Source organism: Homo sapiens, chromosome 19 (genome assembly GCF_000001405.40).
Source record: "Homo sapiens chromosome 19, GRCh38.p14 Primary Assembly".
Classification (NCBI taxonomy): domain Eukaryota; kingdom Metazoa; phylum Chordata; class Mammalia; order Primates; family Hominidae; genus Homo; species Homo sapiens.
The window spans coordinates 44,317,073-44,331,835 of NC_000019.10; the positions used below are offsets into that span (position 1 = coordinate 44,317,073).

The following is a 14,763-nucleotide window of genomic DNA, read 5'->3' on the forward strand; positions in this document are numbered from 1 at the left end:
TAGGTTGATTTCATATTTTGCCTATTGTCCATAGTGCTGCAATAAACATGAGATTGCAGGTGTCTTTTTGATATATTTTCTTTCTTTGAATATATACCCAGTACTGGAATTGCTGGACTGTATGGTAGTTCTATTTTTAGTTTTTAAAGAAACCTCCATACTATTCTCCATAGTGATTGTACCAACTTACATCCCCACCAACAGTGTACAAGCATTCCCCTTTTGCCACACCCTCACCATCATCCATTATTGCCTGTATTTTTGATAAAAGTAATTTTAACTGGAGTGAGATGAGATCTCACTGTGGTTTTGATTTGGATTTCTCTGATATTGATCATTTTTTTCCTTATACCTGTTGGTCACTTGTATGTCTTCTTTTGAAAACATCTATTCAGATCTGTTGCCCATTAAAAATCTGATTATTTGGCTTTTTTGCTATTGAGTTGTTTGAGCTCCTTATATATTCTGGGTCTTAATCCCTGGTCAGATGGTCAGTTTGCAAATATTTTCTCCCATTCTGTGGGTTGTCTCTTCACTTTTTAAATTGTTTCCCTTGCTCTGCAGAAGATTCTTAGCTTGATGTAATCCAATTTGTTAATTTTCACTTTGGCTGCCTGTGCTTTTGAGGTGCTACTGAAATCTTTGCCCATATCAATGTTGTGAATCATTTCCCCAATGTTTTCTTCTATTAATAGTAGTTTTATAGTTTTAGGTCTTATATTTAAGTCTTTAATCAATTTTGATCTGATTTTTGTGAAGGTGAGATAAGGGTCTAGCTTCATTCTTTTGCATATATTCAGTTTTCCCTGCACTATTAATTGAAGAGACTGACCTTTCTTCCATTGTATGTTCTTGGTGCCTTTGTCAAAGATGAGTTAACTATAAATGCATGGATTTATACTTGAGCTCTCTATTCTTTTCCATTGGTCTATGTGTCTGTTTTTATGCCAGTACTATGCTGTTTCAGTTGCTGTTGTTTTGTAGTATATTTTGAAGTCAGATAGTGTGCTGCCTCCAGCTTTCTTACTTTTGCTCAGAGTTGCCTTTGGCTATATGGCATCTTCTGTGGTTCCATATAAATGTTAGAATTGTTTTTGTCTATTTCAGTGAAGAATGTCATTAGTATTTTCTTTTTTTAAATTAAATTAAATTAAATTAAATTAAATTTATCACTATTATTTTTCTTGAGAAGGAGTCTTGCTCTGTCGCCCAGGCTACAGTGCAGTGGCGCAATCTTGGCTCACTGCAAGCTCTGCCTCCCAGGTTCACGCTATTCTCCTGCCTCAGCCTCCCAAGTAGCTGGGACTACAGGTGCCCGCCACCATGCCCGGCTAATTTTTTGCATTTTTTAGTAGAGACAGGGTTTCACCATGTTAGCCAGGATGGTCTCAATCTCCTGACCTCGTGATTGGTCTGCCTTGGCCTCCCAAAGTGCTGGGATTACAGGCATGAGCCACTGTGCCTGGCCTGTCATTAGTATTTTCATAGGAATTTCATTGAATCTGTAAATTGCATTGAGTAATATTGTCATTTTGACAATATTAATTATTCCAATCCATGAGCATGGGCTATCTATTTTTTGTGTCCTTTTCAATTTCTTTCATCAGTGTTTTAGAGTTTTCCTTGGATAGTTCTTTCACTACTTTGGTTAAACTCACTCTTAGGTATTGTATATTCTTTGTAGCTATTGTAAATGGGATTGCTTTCTTGATTTCAGATTGTTCACTGTTGGCATATATAAATAATACTGATTTTTTATGTTTATTTTGTATCCTGCAACATTACTCAATTTTCTTATCAGTTCTAATGGTTTTTGATAGTCTTTAGTATTTTCCATTTTTAATAACATGTCATCTGTCAACAAGACTAATTTGACTTCTTCCTTTCCAATTTGGATGCCCTTTAATTTCTCTGGGAACTGGAGTGCTAAAGTTTTCTCAGTGTTCCTCCCACCTAATTGTTCTATGCAGGATTTCCAGTACTATCTATATTGAATAAAGGTGGTGAGATTAGGCATCCTTGTCTTTTTCAAGATCTTAGAGGAAAGGCCTTCAATTCTTCCCTGTCAGCACAATGTTAGCTGTGGGCTTGTCATATATAACTTTTATTATTCTGAGGTATGTTCCTTCTACACCCAGTTTGATGAGGATTTTTATCATAAAGGGATGTTAAATTATATTGAATGTTTATTTTTAGCATCTATCAAAATAATCAGATGGTTTTTCTTCTTGGTTCTGTTAGTGTGACGTATCACACTTATCAATTTGCATATACTGGATCATCCTTGCATCCTTGGGATGAATCCCATTTGATCATGGTGAATGATCTTTTTAATATGTTGGTGAATGATCTTTTTAATATGTTGCTGAATTCAGTTTGCTAGTATTTTGTTGAAAATTTTTGCATCTATGTTCACCAGTGATAATGTCCTGCAGTTTTTTTTTCCATTGTGTCCTTTTCTGGTTTTGGTATCAGGATACTGTTGGCCCCATAGAATAAATTTGGAATTATTCCCTTCTCTTCAATTTTTGTGAAGAGTTTGAGTAGAATTGGTATTAGTTCTCTAAATGTTTGGTAGAATTTAGCAGTGAAACCATTAGGTCATGAGTTTTTCCTTGATAGGCGACTTTTTATTATGGCTTCAATTTCATTATTTGTTACTGGTTTATCGAGGTTTTCTATTTCTTCATAGTTCAACTGTGGTCGATTGCATGTGTCCAGGAATTTATTCATTACTTCTAGGTTTTCCAAAGTGTATCATTGTTCATCACAGTCTCTAATGATTCTTATTTCTAATGATTCTTATTTTTGTGGTCTCAGTTGTTAAGTCTCCTTTTTCATTTCTGATGTTATTTACTTGGATCTTCTTTCTTTCTTGGTTAGTTTAGCCAAAGGTTTGATGATTTCTGTTTATCTTTTTAAAATCCCAACTTTTCTTTCATTTATCTTCTGTATTCTTCTTTCATTATCAATTTTATTTATTTCTGCTCTGATCTTTATTTATTTTCTTCTACTAATTTTGGATTTGGTTTGTTCTTACTTTTTTAGTTCCTTGAGGTGCATCATTAGGTTGTTATTTGAAATCTTTTTACCTTTTTGATATATGTTTGTTGCTATAAACCTCTAAGTTTTGCTTTGGCTGTATCCCATAGATTTTGCCATGTTGTATTTCTATTTTCTTTGTTTCAAAAAATGTTTAAATTTCCTTCTTAATTTCTTCATTGCCTCACTGGTCATTCAGGAGCATGCTGTTTAATTTCCATGTTGTTTGTGAAGCTTCCAATGTCCTTTTTGTTATTGATTTCTAGTTTAATTATACTGTGGTCAGAAAAGATACTGAATATAATCTCTCTTTTTTTTTTAATTTGTTGAGATTTGTTTTGTGGCCTAAGATATAGTCTATTCTGGACAATGTTCCATGTACTGATGAAAAGAACATCTATTCTGCAGCAATTGGGTGAAATGATCTGTAAATGTCAGTTATGTCTATTAGGTCTAGTGTGTGACCTAACTTCAATGTTTCTTTGTTGATTTTCTGTCTGGATGATCTGTCCATTGCTGAGAGTGGGATGTCAAAGTCTCCTACTATTATTATTTTGCCATATATCTCTTATTTTCGATCTATTAATGTTTGCTTTATAAACTTCGGAGTTCTGGTGTTGAATGCATAGATATTTATAATGGTTATATCATCTTGCTGAATTGACCCATTAATCATTTTATAGTGACCTTATTTGTCTTTTTTACAGTCTTTGATTTGTAGTCTATATTGTATCTTATACAAGTATAGCTACTCCTGCTCTTTTTTCGTTGCCTGTTGCAAGCTATGTCTTTTTCCACCCCTTCACTTTTAGACTATGTGTGTCTTTACAGGTGAAGTGGGTTTCTTGCAGGCAGCATATAGTTGGGTCTTGTTTCTCTATCCATTCAGCCACTTTATGTCTTTTAATCAGAGGATGAGTCAATTTACATTCAGTGTTATTATTGATTAGTAAGGACTTACTACTGCCATTTGTTGCTTGTTTTCTGGTTGTTTTGTAACTCCTCCCTTTCTTTCTTCCTTTCTTACTGTCTTCTTTTTTTGCTTAAATATTTAAGAGTCTTCATTTTTCTGTCTTCCTTTGTGGTTAACAGTATGTTTTAATTTGTTGCTTTTTACTTTTAGTGAATCTATTATAGGTTTTTGTATTGTGTTTACCATAAAGCTTACAAAATACATTTTATAGATATAACAGGTTATTTTAAAGAGATGACAACTTATCTTAGATTACAAGTAATAGAAACAAAGAAAAATGAAAAGAAGAAACACTTCTACACTTAACTCCCATCCGTCCCACCTTTTGATTTTTGGTTGTCTCAATGTACATATTTTTATATTACCTATTTCTTAACAAATTGCTCTTGCTATTATTCTTTTTGATAGATTTCTTTTGGGCTACATACTAGTTATGAGTGGATTGCACATCACAATTACAATACTATTCTTGGTTTGTCTGTGTACTTAACTTTACCACTGGGTTTTACAGTTTCAGAAGCTTTCATTTTGCACATTAGTAGCTTTTTCTTTCACATTGGAAACTCCCTTGAACCTTTCTTAGAAGTCTGTTGTGGTAAATTCTCTCATCTTTTGTTTATCTTGGAAAGACTTTATCTCTCCTTCATATTTGAAGGATAACTTTGCTAGATACAGTATTCTTGGATGATAGTTTTTTTTTTTTTTTAATTTCAGCACTTTGAAAATGTCTCTGCACTTCCTCCTGGCCTATATGGCTTCTGTTAAGAAGTCTTTTGCCAGATGAATTGGAGCTCCTTTATATGTCATTTGCTTGTTTTTTTTTTTTTTTTTTTTTTTTTTTGCTGCTTTTATAATTCTTTCTCCTTGACCTATGAGAGTTTATTATATGCTTTGGGGTAGTCTTAGTTGGGTCAAATCTGTTTGCTGTTCTATGATTTCCCTGTACCTGGATATTCATCTCTTTCTTAAATTTTGGAAAGTTTTCTGTTATTTTGTTGAATATACTTTCTACTCCTTGCTCTTGCTCAACTCCCTCCTGAACAGCAGTAATTCTTAGTTTTGGTCATTTGAGATATTTTCTATCTCTTTCAGTCAATATTTGCTCTTTTTCTTTCTCTGTTCTCTTCTGACTGTGTATTCACAAATAGCCTGTCTTGGAGCTCACTGATTCTTTCTTCTGCTTGATACATTCTGCTGTTGAGAGCCTCTAATGGATATTTCAGTGCAGCAAACATATTTCTCAGTTCCAAGATTTCTGTTTGATTTTAAAAAATTATTTTATTCTCTGTTCAGGTTCTCTGATACATTTCTGAATTGCTTTTCTGTGTTATCTTGGAGATCACTGAGTTTCCTTAAAACAGCTCTTATGAAGTCTTGGTCAGAGAGTTCACATATCGTCTTCCTGTTAGGATCAGTCACTGGTTCCTTGCTTTGTCCATTTGTGGGATGCCATGGCTCCCCGTTTGCTGTTGTTGCTTATGGATGTGTGTCTGTCTTTGCATCGAATGATTATACATTCCACTATTCTCTGTCTGGCTGGTTTTGTTTTTCATTGGATATGGCTCCCTAGAGATTCTTTATATTTTACCTGTTGATTTTCTTCTTTCCCGTTAGGTTACTGACTCCTTTTTGGTACTAGATAGCCTATTAACTCCAGGTTTGCCTCAGTTCTAGTAAATAATCATAGTGCCACCCATCCCAAAAGGGGTAGGTCCCATAGGGGATATCCTAGTTGTAAGAAAGCTGGCTAGTGGTTCATGATTGGGGACCTACAGTATAGTGATGCTGAACAGCCACTCTGATTGTTGTCTCCTTTGGCTGAGTTGCAGAGTAGAGTTTCCATGACGGGGACAGTATTCCCACCTCCCTCCTTTGTCTCTGGCTGTCCTCAGGGATATTTCTCTCTTCAGTTACTCCTGATGCTTTCTGTGGGTTGAGTCAGGGACAAGTCTCCTGCCAGGAAACCCAAGATGGGGAGGAGGCTGGTTGTCCACCTTGATTAACTTTTTCCAGTATAGAAACCGTGAGACGGGAAAATTTTCCACAGTCTTGGCACCAGGCAGATTAGGGGGAAGGGCACTGTGGATAGGAAAGTCCACTTCTCTTATCATCTGCTCAGTTTTTTCCACTTATTTGTGTCCTCAGGAACTGTCTCCTTCTATTTGAGTTCTGGGATATTGCTGGTGATAATCTTGGTGCTGTATATTTGTCTTTAGTTTTCTATTGAAAGGAGTGAAGCCAGCTTGCTTCTACATTGCTATTTTTGGAACCAGAATTTAATTTCTACTACTGACTTATGAGATGTACTTTAAAAAATTCTTAAATGGTTACTCTAGGGCTTAAAATATATTCCTGTATTTTTTCACAGTCTATCTTCAAATCATATTATGCCAATTCATGTATAGAGTACAACCATATACCTCTAATTTCTGCTAGTATATTTCTAATTTCTGTCTTCCCTGTTTTGCAGTGTTCTTACGAAACATCTTATTTTTGTATGTCCTCTAAATTCATAAAACCTCATTCCTAATTTTGCTTTACTGAATTATATTTTGGAGTAATAAAAATAAAAATTATTTTACACTTAAAATGATTGAAATAACTATTTTCATAGTTATGTCTTTTGGTAGATCCAAGTCTATTTCTGGTATGCTAAATATCTCTTACAGTGCAGGTCTGCTAACAGTGAATTCTATCAGCTTCTGTTCATCTGAAAATGCCTTTATTTTGCATACCTTCTGAAAGATTTTTTCCACCAGGCTTAGATTTTTGATTGATCATTTTTTTTATTGTTGTTTCTAAATGTTAAAGATGTAACTCCATTGTCTTTTGCTTGCATGGTTTGTGATGATAAGTCTGATGTTTTTCTCACTCTGCTTCTTATATGTAATGTGTCCCTTTCCTCTGTCTGCCATTAATATTTTCTTTGCACTGTCCATCCATTTTTAGCTATTGGGCAATAATACCTCTAGTTTTGTTCTTTTTTTAAAAAAATACTGCTTTGGTATTCTGACGTTCTTGAATCTGGGTGAAGTCTTATTATTTTTGGAAAATTCTCAGCCATTATCTCTTTAAATATCTTTTCTTCCCATTCTCTCCCCCGACCCTGGGTTTCCAAGTATGCAAATATTAGATCCTACAATGTTGTCCTATTTGTATTGTTTTCTTCACACTTTTTCTTTTTGTGTTTTAGTTTGCATGATTTCTATTGACCTATATTCAAGTTCTGACACTTTTCTCAACTATGTTGAGCCTACTCATAAGTCCTTCAAAAGCATTCTGATAAAAGTAAAAGCAGTAGCATAAATTTTCTTTTCCTAGCATTTCCCATTTGACTATTAAATTTTACTGAAATCCCTATCTGCTCATGCATATTATCTGCCCTTTTCACTGGAGTCTTCAGCACATCAATCAGTTATGTAAAATTCCCTAATAGTTCCAAAATATGGTTATCTATAAGTGTGGTTTTATTGATTGGTCTGCTATCTATTGGCAGAAGATTGTTCTCAACTTTTGATCTTGTGTTTTTAAAATAAAATGCCAGATAACATATACAAAACAGTAGAGACTGAAGACAACATTATTTTTTGCCTAAAACTGGGCACACATGTTCTGCTAGGATGTCAGGGTGGAGTGCTGAATTAATCTGGTCAGGAATCAAGCTGGAATTGGGTTTTGTTGTTGCAATATTTATCTTAGTTGTACCATGGCTTCAAATTTCTCTAGTGTTACCTTGTGCTTAGGGTGGGAACTGGAGTGCTAAAGTTTTCTCAATGTTCCTGTTGCCCCATCCTCAGCTTTTGGCCATCCCTTGGCACCAGGGCCAAGAAAGATTCTCCATGTTCTTCCCTTTTCTCACGGTAGCCTGCTGTTGCTTCTCACTAGGAATAGGCTAGGGGACCAGCGGTGTCCTTTGTTGTCTTGGTTAGTCTCAGTTGTTAGTGGGAATTGGAGTGTCAGAGATTCTATGCATTTTGGGGAGCCAGAACCACACAGGACTAAAATGGTACAGAATATCTCTTCCTTCGGCTGTGAAAAGAAAGCAGGTGATGCTGCTATATTGTGAACAACATGAAGACAAGAATTCACAAGAAAAGAGAGGTGAGAGAATTAAAAGAAAGCAATATAAAATCCCCCTACCTTACCCAGACCCTAGTCTTACACTATCTGTATCTTTTCATTTATATGAACTAAGAAACAGTTTTGGTTTAGGCAACTCTAAATTTTCTGTTACTTAGAACTAAAAGCATTCCAATTGATAAAACCACCATGAGCTCTCCCCTGTAAGTGATGATATCAAAGACATGCTTTAGAAGCCCTGGATTTCTGATGATACTGTGCAACTTGAACCAGCACCTCAAAAGCCAAGTTATGCCAGTGCTTTGGTCATCATATTCATCCAGCAAGGGGAAATCTGATGGAAAAGCCGTGAGCATCAATTTATAAAACTGGATTGCACTAGGACATCCTAGGCAACATGGATTTTGAGACCTAAGGAAATTTCACAGAAATATAAAGTTATGGACACCTAATTTATCTGTATTCTTAAAAATCCAGGAAATTTTAAGAACTAACTTCAGGGGGTTTATTCTTTACTGTTGTTGGTCATAATGTCATACAGTGAAATCAAGCAATCATATCATGAGTTCTTAAGTATAAGAGATAATATATCAATAGCTGTTTACTGCTTTGGTGTAATTGGTAAATGTCCATTATAAATATTTTTAAATAAAGCACAGAAAAACTAAGCCAAAAATTTCTTTCCAGAGAAAACTACTGTGGATATAATAATGAGTAATCTTTCACACATTATCTATAAGCATATATTTGAACATACATGCACACAGGCTTAAATTAGCTGGCTATTATGAACGTACAGTCCAGGTTTTTACTAAACAATATGCATGATCCATTCTTGTCATTTTAGAGCTAAATCATACTTTCTGTAGATCCATAGTATAGAACATACAGAAACTTACCCAAATTCATATTGATGGACATTTACTTCCAGCTTAAAACATTACTATCATTGTAAAATCCTTTCTTACTGCTAAAATTGCTTAATTATAAATTACTGTTCTACGATTTCCAGATCGGTATGCACATTTTACATTCCGATATATATGGGGGGCTTGATAAGTATTTTGATATATATAGAACGACAAGCTTGTATTTTTCACTTTCGCCAACAAAATGCATCATTCTTGAAGACAGACACTAGCAAGTAAATGGCAACCCTATCCTGCTAGTCAATACATTGATAAATATGCTTAGAAAAATTCAAGATTTTCCCTTTTTTTGTGTGTGAGTGGGAGAAGTATGGGAATGGAAAACTTGACAAAATTAAAATCTTTCAAACTTGACCCTGCTTAAGGAGGTGTGGATTGGACAAAGGCTACAACATTTAGAAATCAGTCAGATCAAATGGACTTTTAGAGAAATATGGAGAATAAAAAAACCCCAAGTATTGTGATTTTGACATTTATTAAAAAGTATTTGTCATCAGTAACCATTTTGGATACTTGCAAATATTACAGTAAAACTCTGCCTTAATTCACAGGGCAGGAGTAGAAAATCAATTATGTAAAATACAGTGTTCCATTTTTGCAACATTAACCAGAAACATTGTTTATCAGTTTGTACTGATATTTCAAGTGCACACATGGGTACATATACACACACACAAAGCTAAACTTCAGCAGATGGTATAATGTATAGAGACCAAACGTTAAGAAATGCAGCACATCTCTGCTCAAGATGGAACAAAGGGTGGGAACTAACCCCAATAGGGTTACAATCAAATTAATGTTATTTCAGATCATCATAATGCTTATTGTTCTACATTTCAAATATTTACTTGAAATGATTTTATTAAGATTACTTGCAGGATTTCTCCTCCAAATACATTTTAAGTTTTAAAAAATGCGCTTAAAAATTTCAAACCTTTTACCTTTACATACTTTTAGTTATTTAGCAAAAAGTACTGAGCACCTACATTGCGTTATGAAATGTCCTAGTTTTGTAGACTAGCAATGAACAAAGTCCCTTCTTTCACCAAGCTTACATTCTAGAGAACATGGATTTAGGCATGCTCATCACTGTACTTTTATTAAATTCCTGACCATACTCATATTTTATAAGCCTTAGCTCCTGTGCAATGACTGATGTTAAAGTTCTAACAAAATCCCTCGTGAAACCCCTCTCATTAAATGTCTCTGTTGTGTGGTCTCCTGGCCATTATGAATGTTGAAGTTGGGCAGCAACATTACATTTTAATTTTTAAAAATTCTTTTTCTACTGAAAGAACTCTAGTGACTGGAAAATTTCAGCTCCCATTTGAGGACTTCAAAACAAAACAGAATCTTCATTTCTGTGTAGATTCTCTGATGAAGGGTAGTCCTTACCATAGTCTTCGCTTTTATAGAATTTATCACTACTATGGACTCTTTGATGAATGAGAAGACCTGAGCTCCAACGGAAACCCTTACCACATGCATCACATTTGTATGGTTTCTCTCCTGTGTGGACTCTCTGGTGAGCCTGAAGATTTGATCTCTGACTGAAGCCCTTTCCACATACCTCACATTTGTATGGTTTCTCTCCTGTGTGGACTCTGTGATGGGCTTGAAGACTTGAATACCCACTGAAACCCTTACCACACTGTTCACATTTATAGGGTCTCCCTTCCACATGAACCCTTTGGTGTGCTTGAAGGCGTGAACTCTCACTGAAACCCTTTGTACACACCTCACATTTGTATGGTTTCCCTCCTGTGTGAACCCTCCGATGTGCTTCAAGGCGCGAACTCTGACTAAAGCCCTTCCCACACATCTCACATTTATACGGTTTCACTCTAGTGTGGACTCTCTGATGACCTTGAAGATATGCTCTCTGACTGAAGCCCTTTCCACATACCTCACATATATATGGTCTTTCTCCAGAATGGACACTCTGATGACTCTGAAGGTATGATCTCTGACTGAAACTCTTACCACACTCATCACATTGGTATGGCTTCTCTCCCGTGTGGACCCTCTGATGGGCCAAAAGTGTTGAGGCCTTACTGAAGCCTTTACCACATTCTTCACATTTATAGGGTTTTTCTCCTGTGTGAACCCTCTGATGAATTTGAAGATTAAAGCTCCAACTGAACCCCTTCCCACATTCCTCACATTTGAATGGTTTTTCTCCAGTGTGGACTCTCTGATGGCCTTGAAGGTGTGAACTCCGACTGAAGCCCTTCCCACACTCCTCACACTTGTATGGTTTTTCTCCAGTGTGAACTCTCTGATGGCCTTGAAGGTATGAATTTCGACTGAACCCCTTCCCACATTCCTCACATTTATAAGGTTTTTCTCCAGTGTGGACTCTCTGATGGGCTTGAAGATATGAACTCCGACTGAATCCCTTATCACATTCCTCGCATTTATAAGGTTTCTCTCCTGTGTGGACTCTCTGATGAACATTCAGAACTGATCTATGATTGAAACCTTTGCCGCATATATTGCATTTGTATGGCTTCTGTCCAGTGTGGACTCTCTGATGATCTTTAAGTTTTGAGCTCCAGTTGAAGCCATTCCCATGCTCCTTACGTGGTTTCTCTCCAATGTGAATTTTTGGATGACCTTGAAGATATAAATTATGGCTGAAGCTGTTACTACACACATAGCGTTTATATGGTTGTTCCTTAGTGTGGACTATCTGAAGGTCCTGAAAATGTGAGGCCAGACTGAAGCCATTACCACACTCCTCAGAATTATATGAATTCTCTTCCATATGAACCCTATGCTGAATGTCAAGATTTGAACTACAAATGAAACTCTTTCCATACTCTATATCTGTGTATAGTTTCTCTTCAGTGTGGATTTTTTGATGGACTTGAAGACATGAACTCTGATTAAAGACATTCTCATTTTCCTCATATTCATGGGGTTCATCCCTAGTATGGACCCTAAAAATACTATTAAGGTCTAAGCTATGACTGAAGGCTTTCTCATAAATGTTGTGCCTATAGGACATCTCACCTGTGTGGATAAGTTCATAAGTGTTAAGAGGGGAACAGTGATTGAAGTTCTCACCATATTCACCACATTTGCATGGTTTCTCCTCTGTATGCACTCTCTGATAGGATTTCAGATGTGAATTCTCAATATCATCTTCTCTCTCAATATTTTGATGAATATGAAGAAGTGAACTATAATTACAGCCCTTTCCACATGAACTGTATGTATAGGGCTTCCCTTCCAAGTGGAACTGCTGATGAACCTCAGAGCTGGAGTCATTACTGAAGGCTTTTCTATACCCAGTACATGGATAGGGCTTCTCCTCTGTTTGAATTGACTCCTGATTAAGTAATGATACCTTCATGATATCTTCTCCACAGTCATGGCAGCTGTAGTTTTCTTTTCTGTGTACTTCCAGTTTATCATTGTGATGTGAGAGCCAACTGACACTGTCACACTTACAGAAATGATTTTTCATGGAAATTTGCTGACATCTACACTGATAATTATGTGACTCTTTCAGATACATTTTCCTCCAAGAATGATGTGCCCTCCAAGATGGATACCCTTGACTTTTTATATAATTGGAGCCATTCCCTATATGAGTGAATATATAGTTCTTATCTTCAGAAATCTGAACTGGTATTCCTGCCCAAACCTGGCCGAGGGAATTACCTTGTTCTTGCAACTGAGAATTCTTCCCTTGAAAAACTTTCAGGAAATCTTGACACCTGATTAACCCACCTGCACTTTGTTGCCAGGTCTGACGGGAGGAAAGCTCTTTGGGGGAAAAGTAGCTTACTGTTACTTCCTGAATACTCTCCATCTTTTGTTGATTCTTCCTTCCTATAAGGATAAAGAGAATTCAGATGTGCACGAGTGAATGCTTTATTCAAGAGATTTGAAGATTTTACACTTAGGTCATAACATGAAACTTGAATGAACCAGAGGAAAATTCATGCCACTATTTCTAAGAATACTTAGAAAATATCTCCTCTTTGGCTATACCAGTTACAGGTTGAGTATTCTCAATCCAAAAATCTGAAATGTGAAATGCTCCAAAATCCAAAACTTTTTTAATGTTCTACATGATGTTCAAAGGAAATACTCATTGGAGTATTTCAGATTTCTGATTAGGGATGCTCAACTGGTAAGTATAATGCAAATACTCTAAAATCTGAAAATATTTGAAATACAAAACACTTCTGGTCCCAAGCATTTTGGAGAAGGGATATTTAACCTACATACAAATAGCATCTACATAATTCAGGATATCTGATGCCTCAAAATCAGGACTTTGCAGCACGACCTGGACATCGAACATGATGGCTGTGTTCAAAAGGCTTAGTAAAACCATAAACATGGCTGGGCATGGTGGCTCATGCCTGTAACCCTAGCACTTTGGGAGGCCAAGTCGGGTGGATCACCTGAAGTCAGGAGTTTGAGACCAGCCTGGCCAACATGGTGAAACCCCATCTCTACTAAAAGTACAAAAATTAGCCAGGCGTGGTGTTGCACACCTGTAGTCCCCGTTACTGAGGAGGCTGAGGCAGGAGAATAACTTGAACCCATGAGGCAGAGGTTGCAGTGAGCTAAGATCATGCCACTGCACTCCAGCCTAGGCAACAGAATGAGATCCTGTCTCAAACGAAACAAAACAACACAACTATAAACATGTTATCATGGATTAATCATGGGTTTCCAGGAGATCTGAAGGGGAAAAGAGGATGTTCTTAAAACTGGAAAAATATAGTTGCAAATGGACAAACGCCTTTTGTCCTAATAAGTTTTTCTTTTTTGTCTGGCACATAAACATGATAATGTTGTTCATTTGTAAGTGTACTGTGTGCGTTAAATGATATGCTGAAGAAGGTAAATACAGACTTTTACTTTATGTTTGAGGCATCACATATCCTGTCACTAATGAGCTATTTATCCTCATGAGAATAATAAGCTCTTCTTCAGATTATGAGACTAACGCGCTGCCAGCTGCGCTAAGAGGGCTTAGAGAATAATAAGCTCTTCTAAGTCCCTGTAGGCCATTACAGATTTTAACTCTTTTCAAAAGATATTTCACAATTATCAACGGCCATGGTGTAGGTCAAAATGTGAAAGACTGTGACAGAATTCAACTAAAAAAATCAGAAAAAAATTATGGCACCTGTAGGTGTCCTCTGAGGTGCTCATTAGCCAGGAACAGAACTCAATGAATACTGACTTTTGCTTGTGCCATTTTACTGGAAAATTATGTTAGTGTTTAGGAAATTTGAGGCACCAGAAAGGGTTGAAGACAGGATATTTGGGTAGAAATAGTTACCTAGTTATTAAAGCTCAGATTATAAGCAGACAGCAGATCTTCATATACTAGTGACAAATATCCTCCCTAAGGACAACTGGTTAAACAGGGTTGAATTAATAACATGCATTCTTCTAACACTTAGAAGTAGATTAAGTCTCTATAATATCCAGAAGAAAAGCAGTAAAAGGGATGTTTTTTCATGAATATTACCCTCAAACATAATTCTGCCTTATTTCTTTGTGTTTGTCTGCCTCTCCACACTGGAATGTATTATCCATGAAAACAAACACTGTTTTGTGCACTGCATTCCTTTCACTGCCAAGTGAACAGTAGTTGCTCAATAAACATTGATGAATAAATCATAGTTTGAGTTGCTCTCACTCATAGAACTAAAAGAGCATGTAATGTAGCTTTTTAAATGGGAAAGGAACTGGTGATGGTGGCAA

At 36.2% G+C, this 14,763-nt stretch overlaps 1 protein-coding gene across 7 annotated transcripts in view; it reads right to left on the minus strand.

The window, feature by feature from the left end:
* ZNF112 (zinc finger protein 112) overlaps positions 9,481 to 14,763 on the minus strand; it is a 40,665-nt gene continuing 35,382 nt past the window's right edge. For 6 of the 7 annotated variants that reach the window (NM_001348282.2, NM_001348281.2, NM_001348284.2 and 3 more), the window contains one exon: positions 9,483 to 12,864. In NM_001348282.2, coding sequence (NP_001335211.1) covers positions 10,361 to 12,864 — 2,504 coding nt within the window. In that variant the 3' untranslated portion in view covers positions 9,483 to 10,360. Of the gene's footprint in view, positions 12,865 to 14,763 lie in introns of all 7 variants that reach the window. The other variant, NM_001348283.1, reaches the window with a different exon arrangement.